The sequence below is a fragment of the Homo sapiens genome, chromosome 9 (assembly GCF_000001405.40).
Source record: "Homo sapiens chromosome 9, GRCh38.p14 Primary Assembly".
NCBI lineage: Eukaryota > Metazoa > Chordata > Mammalia > Primates > Hominidae > Homo > Homo sapiens.
In genome coordinates, this window is record NC_000009.12 from 85,131,684 (window position 1) to 85,148,496 (window position 16,813).

General features: G+C 41.5%; 1 long non-coding RNA gene across 3 annotated transcripts in view; it reads right to left on the minus strand.

Annotated features, from left to right (window-relative positions):
• LOC107987088 (uncharacterized) overlaps positions 1–10,952 on the minus strand; it is a 57,909-nt gene extending 46,957 nt beyond the window's left edge. For all 3 annotated transcript variants that reach the window (XR_001746809.1, XR_001746807.1, XR_001746808.1), the window contains exon 1: positions 10,762–10,952. This is a non-coding gene — a long non-coding RNA (uncharacterized LOC107987088). The remainder of the gene's footprint in view (positions 1–10,761) is intronic.
• Positions 10,953–16,813: the final 5,861 nt, after the last annotated feature.

Here is a 16,813-nt window from a genome sequence, read left to right on the forward strand (position 1 = left end):
TATCTCCTAGTGACTCTTCTGGAAATATACTTCCCTAGCCAGATCGCCTTTATCCTGTCATTTTTTTCTCCAATTAATTGTTCTAGGTCTAAAAAGTATAAAAACATCTGTTAAACTAAAGCGCTTCTGCACAGCAAAAGAAACTACCATCAGAGTGAACAGGAAACCTACAGAATGGGAGAAAATTTTTGCAATCTACCCATCTGACAAAGGGCTAATATCCAGAATCTACAAAGAATTTAAACAAATTTACAAGAATAAAACAACCCCATCAAAAAGTGTGCAATGCCTATGAAAAGACATTTCTCAAAAAAAGACATTTATGCAGCCAACAGACACATGAAAAAAATCTCATCATCACTGGTCATCAGATAAATGCAAATCAAAGCCACAGTGAGATACCATCTCACACCAGTTAGAATGGCGATCATTAAAAAGTCAGATAACAACAGAAGCTGGAGAGGATGTGGAGAAATAGGAGTGCTTTTACACTGTTGGTGGGAGTATAAACTAGTTCAAACACTGGGGAAGACAGTGTGGCGGCGATTCCTCAGGGATCTAGAACTAGGAATACCATTTGACCCAGCGATCCCATTACTAGGTATATACCCAAAGGATTATAAATCATGCTATTATAAAGACACATGCACACGTATGTTTATTGTGGCACTATTCACAATAGCAAAAACTTGGAACCAACCCAAATGTCCATCAATAATAGACTGGATTAAGAAAATGTGGCACATATATACCATGGAATACTATGCAGCCATAAAAAAGGATGAGTTCACGTCCTTTGCAGGGACATGGACGAAGCTGGAAACCATCATTCTGAGCAAACTATCACAAGGACAGAAAACCAAACACCGCATGTTCTCACGCATAGGTGGGAAGTGAACAATGAGAACACTTGGACACAGGGCAGGCAACATCACACACCGGGGCCCGTCAGGGCGTGGGGGTCTGGGGGAGGGATAGCATTAGGAGAAATACCTAATGTAAATGACAAGTTACTGGGTACAGCAAACTAACATGGCACATGTATACCTATGTAACAAACCTGCACGTTGTGCACATGTACCCTAGAAATTAAAGCATTAAAAAAAAAAGCAATCTTGCTTTGGACGCCTTCTCAGACTCACTCTATTGTGAAGAGACAATTTAAATAAAAACAATTTCTTTGTTTTTCACTTGTTAATCTGCCTGGTGTCAATTTGGTTTCTAGATCCAGTCGAAGAGTCCACATAACAACTAAGGGGAATTGGAGGTAACCTCTGGCTCCCCTGTTACTTTTCCTAAAACATTGCCAATCTAGCCGGTCAAATTTTATCATCAGTCATCTGATTTGCTTGTCCTCTATTTTGAATGAGGTTGACCAGAATTTTCTTGTACATTTGTGGTCATTTTTAGTTCTGTGAATTGCTTGTTCAATCCAATGCCATTTTTCTAATGGGTTGTCTTTTGTATGGATTTGTAGGAGCTCTTTATATATTACAAACAATCATGTCCAGTTTTTTAACCTTAATAATAGTTCTACCACCAAAAAATAGTCAAACTTGAGAGAATCACAGCCTATTGAAAGTTAGAACAGATCATACTTGAAAGGCCATTTCATTCAAGAGAGCTCAGTCAAGTAAATGAGCTCCAAAAAAGGATAATAGGCTGGTCGCGGTGGCTCACGCCTGTAATCCCAGCACTTTGGGAGGCCAAGGCAGGCGAATCACGAGGTCAGGAGTTTGAGACCAGCCTGGCCAACATAGTAAAACCCTGTCTCTACTAAAAATACAAAAATTAGCCAGGTGTGGTGGCATGCACCTGTAGTTCCAGCTAGTCAGGAGGCTGGGGCAGAAGAATCGCTTGAACCTGGGAGGTGGAGGTTGCAGTGAGCCAAGATGGCATCATTGCACTCCAGCCTGGGTGAAAGAGCAAGACTCTGTCTCAAAAAAAAAAAAAAAAAAAAAGGGATAATGGACACTTTCAAACACACCAATGTGAAAGGCATCAAGACTTGGCCATAAGAATTCATTCTCATCATGGCCATTGATGTTCATGGGATCAGCTTATCAGGTTGCTTCCGAACACAACTTTTCTTTTGGTGAAATCCAACACTTTTTCTGTACAGCATGCAGATTTCATTCTATAGTTTATATTAAGGACAGGAAGATAGTGCCTTTCTATAAAAAAAATCATTTGTGTATTTTTATACCACCTCCTTTTTCAAAGAATAAAATTAGAGTTTAGGCCAGGTAGTGGCTCACACCTGTAATCCCAGCATTTTGGGAGACCAAGGCAGGAGCATTGCTTGACTCCAGGAGTTGAGGCCAGCCTGGGTGATATAGAGAAACCTCGTCTCTATAAAAAGTTGAAAAAAAAAAAAAAAAGCCAGATGGCCAGGCACTGTGGCTCATGCCTGTAATCCCAGCACTTTGGGAGGCCGAGGCGAGTGGATCACCTGAGGTCAAGAGTTCAAGACCAGCCTGGCCAATAGCAAAACCCCGTCTCCACTAAAAATACAAAAAGTTAGCCAGGTGTGGTTGTGGGTGCCTATAATCCCAGCTACTCGGGAGGCTGAGGCAGGAGAATCACTTGAACCCAGGAGGCAGAAGTTCCAGTGAGCCGAGATCGCGCCATTGCACTCCAGCCTGGGCAACAAGAGCAAAACTCTGCCTCAAAAAAAAAAAATAGCCAGGCATGGTGGCATGCGCCCATAGTCCCAGCTATTCAGGAGGTTGAGGTGGGAGGATCACCTGAGGCCAGGAATTCAAGACCAGCCTGACCAATATGGCAAAATCCTGTCTCTACTAACAATACAAAAATTAGCGGGGCATGGTGGTGCACATCTGTAGTTCCAGCTACTTGGGAGGCTGAGGCACAAGAACCACTTGAGCCCAGGAGGCAGAGGTTGCAGTGAGCCAAGATTGAGCCACTGCACTACAATGTTTAAAATAAAATAGAATTTAAAAGGAGACAGGAAAAAGAAATTAAGGACAACTATAACACTCTGAAATGAGTGCCCAAAGGTTTAGCACAACAGCTAGAAGTTGATTGCAAATTTAGTCTAAGTGTCCTCAAGCTAAGGTAAAGAGGCAAACACAATCAGAGCAAGATTCACATTATTTGCACAATTAAAAGAGACCAGTTACTCAAGCCAAGCAAGTTTCCCCAGCACCGAAGCCTCATAGAGGAAATACTGTGGGATAGGAAAAATATCATTTTGAGAGTAAATTTTATGGAGAAATTTGTACAGTTTTGTCTCCCTCAGTACCAACGTTGAAACAATAGAAAAGTCGAGTAAAACAGTTTTTTAAAGTGAAGAACATTTTATAAATTGAACAATAAAGGACATTTGAAAATTCCCACAATAAAATGTTAGCAACAATAATAAACAACAGGCAGATAGGTGCAAATTTAATTGCCTCACTTGAAGCAGACCTTATAAATGAGAGTATTACTATATAGAATGTATTTATTAAAGGGAAAGGGTGTATCTTAGTCTGTTTTGTGCTGCTGTAACAGAATACCAGAGACTGGGTAATTAAAAAATAAAAGATATATTTAGCTAACTGTTCTGAAGGCTGCTAGGAAATCCAAAATCAATTGGTGAGGGCCACTGTGCTGTCATCCCATAGTGGAAGATGGAAGCAAAAGAAAGCACTTGATATGGTTTGGCCATGTCCCCACCCAAATCTCATCTTCAGCTGTAGCTCCCATAATCCCCACATGTCACATGTCATGGGAGGAACCCAGTGGGAGGTAACTTAATCAGCAGGGTGGGTTTTTCCTGTGTTCATCTCATGATAGTGAATAAATCTCATGAAATCCGATGGTTTTGTAAAGGACCGATACCCTGAATACACTATCTTGCCTGCCACCATGTAAAACATGCCTTTGCTCCTCCTTCACCTTCCACCATGATTGTGAGGCCTCCCCAGCCATGTGAAACTGTGAGTCCATTAAACCTCTTTTTCTTTATAAATTAGTCAGTCTCAGATATTTCTTCATAGCAGTGTGAAATAGACTAATACAGCACATGTTCTAGACAGAGGGGGAACAGGGCCAAATTAATCCTTTTTATCAGAAACCCACTCCCATGATAACTAACCCACTCCTATGATAATGGCATTAATACATTTGTAAAGGCAAAGCCTTTAGGGCTTAATCACCTTTTAAAGATTCCATTTCTCAACACATGCATTGGGAATAAGTTTCCAACACATAAACTTTTGGGGATACAGTAAAACTATAGCAGGGTGTATTTGGCAAAAATACTCATCATAGGAATTTTTTAAATGATATTTTCTGCAAACGCATGTGGAATTTGAGTCTGTTTTCAGAGATAAGTGTGCAACTTTCTGGCATACCTCTGCTATTTATATAGAAGCGCAGGTGCAGAGAGGATTCATTGGCACAGGTGGGCCATGAAATATACAGGAGTTATCTCAGGCTAAGGTTTATCAAAGGAAGCTAGCTAATGAAGAAAGACATGGGGATACATTTTTCTCTTCTAAAAGGAGGAAGTTTGGAGCCCTCCTCTGCTCTTGTCCCTTGAGGCTTGTCATGCAGAAAGAGGACTGAGCTCTCAGCCAGGTACCATCACCTGGATTGTGGGCCACATTCTGAAGAACAGAGCTTCTGAAAGACAGTCAAGGATGGTGGATGAGGAAACAGCCTTGTCTTATTTCTCCTCTTCTACTCTTGAAGTCCAGTAGTGAACTTTTCTCATCTATCAGGCAGGCTTGCAACTACGTAAATGCTATGAGATGGCCAGGATGCTGGGCTGGGACCAGCTCAAAGCTAGGCACTGAGAGGGGACCTCGTAGTTCCATAAGGATAAGCTAAAATAAAAAAACTTGGGTACAGGTTTTGAGATGGTATAGGCAAATCAACCTTATGTTTTTTGTTTGTTTGTTTATCTTGAGCTAATGAAGATCTAACTCAGTGCATTTCAAAGTGGGGTGTCCAGAGCAGCTGCAGCAATCCACCCTGGAAATGTGAGAAATGCAAATTTGAAGGCCCTGCCCTACATCTGCTACTCTGATGATGTGTCCAGAAATCTGTATTTTAATCAGGTTTCCAGATGATTCTGATGCATGCTCAAGTTTGAGAACCATGGATATAACTTGCAGAAGAAAAAGGTGCTTTCTCATGACCCACTCCACCTTATTCAAGTTTTTCATCAGAATGGGGCCAGCTAAAAATAGTGTTACTTTGTCTTCTATTTGCAGATTGTCACGCTGTGGTTACATCTGCTTCTTAGGCGTAGTCCATGGAAGGGTGAGTGCTCTAGAAGTTTGATTTGGGGAATTGTGGCCCCTTGACCATAATATAATCTAATAGGACCCTGATCTTACCCTGGTTTTCACAAAATTTATAAATTATGTCTCTAAAACAGCCAGGCTGGAGTATTTATAGCCTGAGGAAGCTAGCCACAGCATAGTTCTAAAAAAAAAAAATCCGCAGTTTGCATCAGTAAATGCTGAAAAAATGTAAAGGCTCATCTGTTGCTAGAGGGGGAAAAAAAGGAAGAGAAAGAAAAGGGCAGAGAACTTCTCAGAATGAGATGTTCGATTTATTCAAGCTTGTAAATATAGAAATCCAGACTGCTGGTGAAACTCGAAATAGTAATTTTGCTCCCATCTCGCAAGGATGGAAGAAAGCATTTAGATCCACACTCTACCTATGCGGAAAAATCGTGAGACCGTGTGCTTCTAGCAGGTACCTGGAATTGGTGCTTGCATTTGGAGATGCTGTGGCCAACTTCTCATTATACCGTGGTCAATCAAACACTCTTTGTCCCCGATGTTCAAGAGTTTGGCTCTATGGGTAAATCTGCACCATTAAAGCCAAAGTTCATAAAGCAACTATGGAAAGCTTCTATCTTAGTGCTCCCAACTGAAAAAGAGTGACTGATGGCTTAAGTATTTTTATAACTAAAGGAAAAGTGATTAGTGGATTGAGTCAGAGTCACATAAAAGAAAATTTGAGCTCTGTACCGCTTGCTTGTGATTTATTTATTTCTATCATGCAGTTGCCAGTGCTATTAAAATAATGTCAAAGACATAAAGATGAATTTAATAAGCTATTGATGGTGGATCTGACAGTGGGTTAGTGCCTAAAGTAGTGAAATGTCAGGGTAAAGTGCATTATGTGCTGACTTGCATCGTTAAAGTGACTCCAGGCAAACCGAGAAGCAGCCGTTAGACTTCCTTCAGATGCACTAAACGGCTGCTCTTCCGCTAAAAGCTCCCCAGCTCTTATCCTGGGATAATGGATCAGAACTGAAACATCTATGTCTAAGAGAGAACAAGGGAGTGCCCCAACAGGTCTAAACTAGATCAAACACATTACCATCAATGTGCACACATCCTTAACAAAGCCAAGCTAATTATTAAAATGTGAAATATGGCTCAAAATGCAAACCAAGCAGAAATTCTATAAAGGACAAAACCAAGCCCCACATTTACTTAATTCCTAAGTCTTCAAGTGAAATGGTCTTTTCATTTCATTATCAGGCTTTGTTCAATGCAGTCAATATCTAATTATGTTTTTAAAAGTTAAGTTTGGGATCTAAATTACCTATAAATACAGGGATATTCTTAGGGATTTCTTTGAGATATAGTCCCATTATTTCTCATTCACTTGCCTTGAGCTATGAGAAAAACAAATTGAAGCTTTAAGAGTTGTCTCAAAACACAACTTCTTCTAAACTGTCTTTGGTCCATGAGTTTTGAGAGTTCTCACAGTGGGTTTGATGTGCTAGCTGTCTGTATTCATAAAACTAAATGAGTAATTGGCAAGTCTCTGTTTTGCTTTGTGCTGTGGGTACAGGAGAAGAGAAATGAAAGGGGCAATGGGGGAGAGGGTAGAAGGGAAAGAAGAAAATAGAAAGGGAGTAAGAGAGAAAAAGGTGGTGATAATTGAGTAGAAAAGTGAAAGAAGAAAGAAAAGCAAAAAAAAAAAAACAGAAAAAAAGGCAAAAAGATCAATTTCAACAGGTCTTGAAACATAACCATTTCAAGAGGAGATAAGGAATCTGAGTGTTCCATAATTTCTTGTCCCATTAACCAAACCCACCAATTACTCAATTTCTACCTCATTTTGACTATGAGGCCGAAACAAATGAAATGCATTCAGTTCTGAATTTAAAACCTAAATCCTGAATTTTGGATTTATGGAACCAAAAATGACCTGTAGCTAGACTACATATTTCCAAAGTTGGCTGTTGTTCCGTGGCATGTCAAGGGTGCCCATGAAGATACAAAACTTTTCACTGTTTGTTTCACTATACTTGAAGGGAGCTTGAAACGAAAGCAATGTTGTTAAAACTTTTGAATTAGGTAAATGTTCTGCACTTAGCAATGTACAGTTGATTCTCATTATTCGTGGTAATTATGTTCTGTAAAGTTGCCTCAAACACAAAATTAGCTAATACTGAACTATTGTTTCTAGGAGGAAGAGTTAAGTTCTTGCAAGCCTGTAGTCACAACATTTTCATCAACTGAAGTACACATAAGCTTGTTTTATGTTTCTATTTAAACACCTTATTGTGTGTGTGTGTGTGTGTGTGTGTGATTCATTAACATTTAACTCACAGCCAACAGTAATATAACTCATGTCTGAATGAAGCTCATATCGTACACATACTTTCTCTATAAGGCATATCATATTCTACTTGCACTTAGGAACACTGGAAAACACTGCAATACTATGTTTGAGGACCAGTTTAAACTATGAAAGCACCAATAAAAAGCATAAAATATGTGACAAACTACAAAAAGAACACTTGTTTACAGCATGAGAACTGAAACAAGAAGGCAGTGTGTCATTTTGTTTGACCTCAGCTAGGAACATGTGCATTGGGGTGACTCAAATTTTTTGCCACTCTGCATGTCTTCAAATAACTATAAAATCACCCGCCAGGCATGGTGGCTCATGCCTGTAATCCCAGCACTTTGGGAGGCTGAGGCAGGCAGATGACCTGAGGTCAGGAAATCGAGACCAGCCTGGCCAATGTGGTGAAAGCCCGTCTCTACTAAAAACACAAAAATTAGCTGGGCATGGTGGCGGGTGCCTGTAACCCCAGCCAATAGAGAGGCTGAGGCAGGAGAATCGCTTGAATCCAGGAGACGGAGGTTGCAGTGAGCTGAGATCGTGTGCCATTGCACTCCAGCATGGGCAACAAGAGCGAAACTCCATCTCAAAAAAAAAAGAAAAAAAAAAAAAACAGCACCAGGAATATCCATTTTGGAGCTATAAGTTAATTTTTGGTGAGTAGGTGAATTAGCAAAAATGGAATCCACAAATAAGCAGGAAACACTGTATTTGGTTTTCCATTCAATTTTGCCATAATCTTTCAACTTTTAATCTGCCTTGGCACTTTGACTTTCTGTAAGTCTACTTGTTCTTGAGTTTCTTTGACTGTATAGGAGGAAGATTATTCCTGTTCCTTCTACATGTCTAGAACTCTATTTGAGTTCTTGGCTTCTTTTTCTCTTTTTTTTGCAGGAGTTGGGGCAGGGATGGAGTTTCCCTCTTGCACTCGTGTCGCCCAGGCTGGAGTGCAGTGGCGTGATCACAGTTCACTGCAACCTCCACCTTCCATGTTCAAGAGATTCTCCTGCGTCAGCCTCCCAAGTAACAGGGATTACAGGTGTGCACCATCAAGCCCAGCTAATTTTTGTATTTTTAGTAGAGACAGGGTTTCACCATGTTGGCCAGGCTGGTCTCGAACCCCTGACCTCAGGTGATCTACTCGCCTCAGCCTCCCAAAGTGCTGAGATTACAGGCGTGAGCCACCGCAACCAGCTGACTTCTTTTTCTTAAGTAAAACAAAATAAAGTAAAATAAAAATAGAGGATACTGAATCATTAAAAATTTAGAAAAAATGTAAAGCAACAAAACTTGAAAGACAGCCAAACTGGAAACTGAATTAGTGTTGAATCCCTTCATAAACTTTATCTCACTTACTCATGTCAACCTTTGTACTGAGTATTTTATAAGTGCAACAAGAGGTTAAGAGATGTATCCATGGTCAGATAGTTAAGTCATAGGACCAAGACTTCAAATGAAACTTTTAGATTATAAATTCCATCCACCTTCTATAAATAGAATTAAAAGAGAAGACACAATCATTCATGAAGCTTTGATTAAAATGTGCAAAATGAAAATGTTTTTTATATTTCTTTATAAAGCCCACACCAGATAGCCCCCACAATAGTTGAGTATAAAATATTAACCTTACAGGGATATGTTAAGGCCATTCTCACAAGGGGGAAATATAAACAGTCATTGAGAGAAATGGAAGGCAATGCTTTTAGGGAAAAGTGCACTAGTTGTAACTTTGGTTGTAAAAGGGAATACCCTGGCTTGTCAAGAACGACTTAGGAAAAGGCTCCTGAAATCACTGTAAACTATATTCTCAAGTTGTCAGGCCCCAAAAGTGGGGTGTTAAAAGGTAAGTGAGGCACACTGGAAACTGAGTCCTCTGACTACAGTGGACAGCTGAGAAGCTCCAGTGTATCTTGCCCAGTAGAAAGTTGGGCTAAGTTTGCTACATTTGATTTTCCAAGAGAATTTGGAAATTCTCTTTTGTACGTGAAATTTCCATGGCAGAGACAGTAGATGCTCACTTCAAGTCCATGAGCTCCCTGTATTTCCCAGCCTCCTTCCACTGCAGTCAGGTGTGGGGCCCTGTGACCATTCTATCCAATAGTTAATGGCCTGTGAGCAGAAGTGAATGAGATATAAATCACCAAGGCCTTTACAAGTCTTCTTCCTCCCTCCTTTCTCTCCCCCAATCTGTCTCTCTCTCTCTCTCTAGGAGTATGAGTTGGTATACCTCAGGCTCCTATTATCCTTCATCAGTTCTCTCCAGGATGTCCCAGCTGCCTTTGGACTTGAAGTATAACACTTCTTTACATTCTGAAAGTCAAATTGGCCATCAAGGCATGTGGCAAAGACCAAGAGTTGTGTCCCAATATCCATTCTTGCCTTCTATGCTTCTTTGGTACTAGACTTCAGACATTCACATGAATGTTCAGAGTAAAGGCTAATTTTCAAGCTACCCTTATTGCTATGCGTGGCCCTATGACTAAGTGTTGGTCAATTGGATGTGAGTGGAAGTTGTGTCTGCCATTTTAGGGGTGTGCCCTGTCTTGCCCTGTTTTTCTTTGTCTCTCCCACTGGAAACAGATGTCATAAAGAGCAACATTGGACCACATGGATGAGAAGAGAACTGTAGTGCCTACTTAACAATGTGGAGCTGCTACGTTAGTCTTGAACTGTTTTGGCTCAGATTCAGAAAAAATAAACTTTTAATTTGTGTAAGCTACTCTTGGATCCTAATGCAGTCACACTGTATCCTAGATAATCCAGGCACTTAGATGCTATGGCTACTGCTTTAACTCCTATCAAAACCCTTGGAAAATAGAGCTAAACAGGTTTGGGAAGTGGCATGACATATCCATGAAGTCTGTGCACTTTGAAGTAAGATAGAACTGACCCTGAATTTTACTTGGCCACTTCCTAGCTGTGTCTCCATGGCCAAGGTAATTAAAATATCTGAGCTAGGTTTCCTTTGCTTAAAAATTGAGTAAGTAATACATCATAGGATTGTTGTAAAGGTTAAATGAGCTGGTGTATACACAGTTCCTGGCATCTAATAAATATTAAACAAATGCTTGTTGCTATTGCTCAGGAGTCAGACACACTAAGGAAGTTGGAAGACAGGAGGAGAGGGTAGGAATGGCTTCATCTGCTCACCTTGCTTCTGCAACCAGAGGGACTTGCAAACACTCTTCTCTCAGTTTCTGTAGCTCGTGGATAGAAGATGTCATCCCATGGCTGACAGACATCTGGATTTTCTGTGCTGTGCTTATTCATTGAACTTAATCATGACCTCACTTTCTATGCCTGAGTGAGTAGAGGCTCCTTCTCCCTCCTTGGGTACAGTTGTTGATGGATTGAAAAGCACTCACTGAGAAAAGATATACTGTGACCCCTCCCAAGCCCGAGTCAATGTGAAAAGGGCTAAAACTGTGCCAAGTGCCAGAGTCCACTGGAAATTTCTGAATCCAGCTGCACACCCAGATGTGCATGTTGACAGGATGCCAAGCCATTCCAAAGTCTTGAGCAATGCGCAGTTCCAGGGCCCAGTGAGCTGGTGCCAAGGCTTTGACTGCCACTCCAGGAAGCCAGCAGCGGGGCAAGTGGGGGAAAGAATGCTCATTGAAAGAAGAAATTATTTTATGTATGGTTTCCCTGCTGACCAATGACATCTCTACCTTGCTAGTGTCCCACCTGTCCTCCAAAGTGGCTGACCCCACTGGAGATTGTTGCAGGCTGCAGCCATCTTGATGATGAGAATTGGCATCATCTGGGAGGAACACTCACTTCGTAACACTTCCCTTGAAAGCCATACTGTGTAAAACTAACTGCAGAGATGCAAACTTTCTTGTTGGAAGCATTGGCCTATGAAGGTAATAGAGAGCCATAGGGAGAAAAACAAATTGGTGGAGGAAAAAGTGACCTATACTGCCATCTGTCTGTCTGGAAGAGCATAGGTGACTCAATCCATTTCACATTTACCTCTCTTCAGCATTCAGCTAAGGTAAAGAAAAAATGGAGGGAAATAACTTGGATCAAATGTCTGTCAGCCCCACCCCTCAGCTTCCCAATTATTTCATCCCTCCTCCAGCCCAAACACATCTTTCTCTCACATCCTGATAGAGGCATTTCCATCTGTTTGCAAAACCTCACATTCCTGCCATAGCAAGTTGGAACTCAGAATATTGATACCCATTCTCTCTCCACTACTGTGTTCAAAACTGTCACCATCACAGGGGACATCAGGCCTTGGTGAACTTGTCTTGTAATCCAGCTTCCAAGCACAACATTGTTTCAATGGGAAGGGAACTCATTCTGGGTCCAAACAAAAAGCTGGTTGGTGACCTTAACGAATACAACCACGACATGTTTAAGACTGTCTGCACACGAAAATCAGCAAACATCAAAGATAGCATTGCACAATACGGAGTGTGGCACATCCAGAAAATTCAGGGGGAATGAAATTGCAAATGTAAGGGATAGAGTCAAAGACTGCATTTTAAGTTTATTTCCACCCAAACTGGTTCTTCCTCTGCCATGGAATAAGGAACAACTCAGCAAAGGGAGAGAAAGAAAGCAAAGCAATGAGGAGTTTCAGCCGCCTATTCTTTCAGGGGAAAGCTGGCGTGTGCTTTTCCCAAACTCAGCTATAGGCAGAAAACCAGAAGTGAGGCCGCTTCATCAGGAAAAAGAGATGCAGACAGCCCAAGTTACACAAATCCCTGAGCCTTGTCTGCACAAGGGTGTTTCATTTCATGTGGCTGCTCAGTATGTAAAGGATGAAAGTCTCATTTTAAGTAAATAGTGACATGGACTGTGGTGTTGATTAACAATCAACCATGTCTCAAGTCCAGCTCTCTCCAACGAAAAGCACCAAGAAAATACAATCTTCGGAAGAAAGGACTTGACAGAAACCACAGGCATGAAGTTGCATGGCCAGTTCCTGTTTGGGAAAAGCAACAGCACATTTGGTCTCTGAATTCCCTGCATTTGGCCGGCCATGTGGTCTCCAAAGTGGCTGTTTTTCTGAAGTCTCCATTGCGCATGGACCGACACACTCAGGCTTGCCTTCTTTCTGATGCCTTTTTGAGTGATGGCAAGAGCTATGTGAGTTCTCAGGGTGAGCTCTTTGTGTACAGGTTTGGTGTAAATAAGCATTCAGTTGAGCAAAGGTAGTTCTTACCAAGCCCTTGGCCATCACAAGACCACCTGTGCTGGAGCAGGCTGGGGCTGAGGAAAGGTTGGGAGTGAGTCTCCAGCTTCCCAAGAAGGAGTGACGTGGTCCCTGCCGAGAAGGAGTCATTTTGTTCATTCCCAGTCTCTTTCCTCCAAATTTTCAACCTAATTCCCACCTACGAGAGCAGTATTTTGGATACATGGAGCTCTCAGAGTGCCTCATTCCTGCAGTTTCCAAAGGCCCTTCTCAGTCCTCCTGTTTTCCATAAATGTAAGATGTGTTTCCAGGATCACCAGCTGCCTACTAGCAGGAAAGACCAAGGTGATCAATAAAGCACAGCAAGACCTTCCTTTTAAGCCACCCCAGCATGTTGCATTTCTAGAGCAAAGGAAGGAATGGGACTGAAGGCATAGCTTTGTTTGTAGGCTTTCATGTGCACCAGAATATACATTAAGGGACATGCCACACAATGTGTCTGTTTTTAAAGTGTTCATTCTATGCCGGACACAGTGGCTCACACCTGTAATCCGAGCACTTTGGGAGGCCGAGGCTGGTGGATCACTCCGAGGCCAGGAGTTTGAGACCAGTTTGGCCAACGTGGTGAAACCCCATCTCTACTAAAAATACAAAAAAATTAGCCTGGTGGCAGGTGCCTGTAATCCCAGCTACTCGGGAGGCTAAGGCATGAGCCTCTCATTTGAACCTGGGAGGCAGAGGTTGCAGTGAGCTGAGATCATGCCACTGCACTTCAGCCTGGGCAACAGAGCAAGACTGTCTCAAAAATAAAATAAAATAAAATGTTCACTCTAAAACGATTTGATTAACACACTGTTGACAACTGAGTTATCTGCTATGAACAATAGAAAAAAATGAGTTAAAGAAAGACCATTGTCTTGAACTACTGCTCTCAGAATGGTGGTCTCAAATTGTACAGAGCTCAACCTGCAAACACTGGAGCTCTCATCCCCTGGGGGGCTCTTAAATGGCCTGGAGGGTTTCCATAAGTGGGCCTACAGTTCAATAAGCAGGCCTAAAGTTCAAAGCCAATTTTCAGAATAAAGAAACATTCTCCCCAGGCTCCGGACACCTTGCAAATAGGAAAGTGGACCTCTGATGGTGATTCATAAGCATTTCAATCTCATTCTCTAAGTCTTGTGACTGGCCATTCCATAACTCCAAATGCCTTTGGCTTTGAAATTTCCTCCCAGGGTGCCTGCCTGGCATGTAGAAACTTCATTTAGCATAGCGCAGGTGGTCTTGTGCTGGCCCAGGGCTTGGTAAAAACTCCCTTTGCTCACCGGAATGTTTACCTACACCAAACCTGTACACAAAGAGCTCACCCTGAGAATTCACACAGCTCTTTCCATCACTCAAAAAGAGCATCAGAAGAGCAAGAGAAGATGGCAATCACCTGAGGTCGTGAGTTCGAGACCAGCCTGACCAACATGGTGAAACCCCATCCCTAATAAAAATACAAAAAAACAGCTGGGCATGGTGGCACATGCCTGTAATCTCAGCTACATGGGAGGCTGAGGTAGGAGAATCGCTTGAACCCAGGAGGCAGAGGTTGGGGTGAGCTGAGATTGCACCATTGTACTCTAGCCTGGACAACAAGAGTGAAACTCCATCTCAAAAAAAAAAAAAAAAAAAATTTGAGGTAGGCTATGTTCAGAATCTCAAAAATATTTTCTTAGAAAATAAAAATAGTTGCTCTAAATTATTTCTCTTATGTTTTATGTTTTTTCTTTTTTTATCTGTCTTAAATTTTTTAATGAAGGAAATAATGTTAATAAGCAAAATACATTTATTTGAGAATATTGGAAAAATACCTAAATGAACAAACAGGTGAGAAAAACTGTAAGCTACCTATGCAAAGGAAGCCACAATTTACCTTTTGCATCTTTTTTTCCAGTCTTTTTGTTATACATGTTTTGTGTAATTGAAACCATACTGTTTTATTTTATTTATTTATTTTAGATTCTGCTTTTTACACTTAGTAATGTGTAAAAAGGTCAGTGTGGCTGGAGCAGAGATAACATAAGCATTTCTCTGTGATATTAAAAAATTGTTGCATGTTAGAGAGCACAGATGACTCCCAGACAGAATGAAGGGATAGATTTAAAAGGAATTTAATGACCTTCATATTTGGAACTACAGGGATTGCCGTAGAAACCTTAAGGTGAACCCACGGACAGGTCTAGCTACAATCACAGGGACTGAAGAAAGGGATAGAGTCAAGATACCACTTCTCAGAAAGAGAGGCATTCAGTATGAGTTGAGAGAAACACATTGGAGGTCATAAAGCTGGAACTTTACAACAGCTTCCAGAAAGCAGAAGACTTAAAACTACCCAATACAAGTTCAACCTTGTTATTTTATAGACAAGAAGAAACTGGATCCATAATGATAAAGTGACTCATGGTAAGCCCCATCGAGTGGAAGTTTGTGAGAGACTCAAAATGTTCTGACATTGGATCCAACATTATTTGGTCTGCATCTTCCTGCCTTTTCTTCCACTTGCCTTCTCCCACACTCCACGTTGGTGTACAAGTGGGAATCAACATGTGTTATAACCATCTCACAGGGAGATGAGCTCAGATGGTTAATGGATGTGAAAACTCTTTGACAATGGGAAAACGACAAAAAACTAAAGCTTTATTGCTGCTGCTGCTGCTGCTAGTTTCCTACCTACTGAGGATAAAGATGAATGCAGCCACCTTTGACTCATTTAATGTATTCATTCAATAAACATTACTGAGTGTGCCAGGCACTGGGTGTAGGCATTAGGTATACAACAGGGAACAAACAGATAAAACACTTATGGAGTTTATAGTCTAGGTAAGACACCAAAGATGAACAATAAATTAAGTTACAGCCTATGATAGTTGAAGATAAGTGATAAGGAGGAATAAGTAGGCAGAGATAAGTTATGCAATGTTCTGGAAGGATGTTAGATAAGGCCGCTAGGGAAGGAAGCCGTGTGTATATATGGGAAAGAGCATCTAGGGACAGAGAATAGCAGGGGCCAATGCCTTGAAACGGGAGTGTGTCTGTGCTTTTGAGGACCAGGGAAGAGGTCAGTGTGGCTGGAGCAGAGATGACATAAACAAAGGCATGATAGGGGCCCAGATCATGTAGAGTTGTGGAGATGAATTTACTGAGGGAAGATAGTAGATGGTTCTGAACAGAGGAGTGATGTGGTCTGACTTCAACTTTAAAGAGGGTCTCTCTGGCCATATAAAGAATAGACTCAAGGGAAGTGAGAGGGTGGGCAGGAGAAGGTTAATTCAGCAGGCCTGGTTTGCTCAAACCCTGCACACTCAAAAAAAAAAAAAAAAAGAAAAGAAAGAAAAGAAAAAAAATGCCTGAGGGTGGTCTTAACTCCCTAAGCTGCTCACACCCCTCTTCCCCTACCCACCCACCCACACACAGTGAGGGCCAGGAGAGAAGCTAGGAAGCAGATGCACTCATCCAGGTGGCAGAGCAGGGTGGCATCTGCCATGATTTTGTCCCATCAGTGTCCTGGGATTTCTGTTGACTCTTTTGAAACTCCTTGGCAAGGGAAAGATACCTTTCATGAATGTCAATTGATGAAATCCAGAATCTCTTTATTAAACGGCTAATTCTGGTCTGATCTGTCAGAGAATCATTTCTGCTTTTTCCCCAGTGAAGAAGTTCTTGAGAAACTTGGTATCTCTAAGATGCTAAGCAAAAAGACCAAGGTTTCTTGTTTCTCTGTTGGTGTGAGCCAGCAGGTCTGCATCAGGCAATGGATGCAAGTGTCATTGGAAGTGCCTGGGAACAAGGAGAAACCCATAGCATTCAGATTTGTCTGTGATCTCCACCTCCACAACATGGCCACTAGTAACCTCATCATTATTTCAAATGGGCGGACAACCCACTGGCCTTGTAACCCTCCCAAGGATGGATTTTGACTTGACTTTCCTACAAGTCTCCCAAGTGTAGGAAACTTGGGAGAGCAGGAGAAAAATAGATCAACTTCTACTTGAGTGGGGAAATTATTCCATTTAT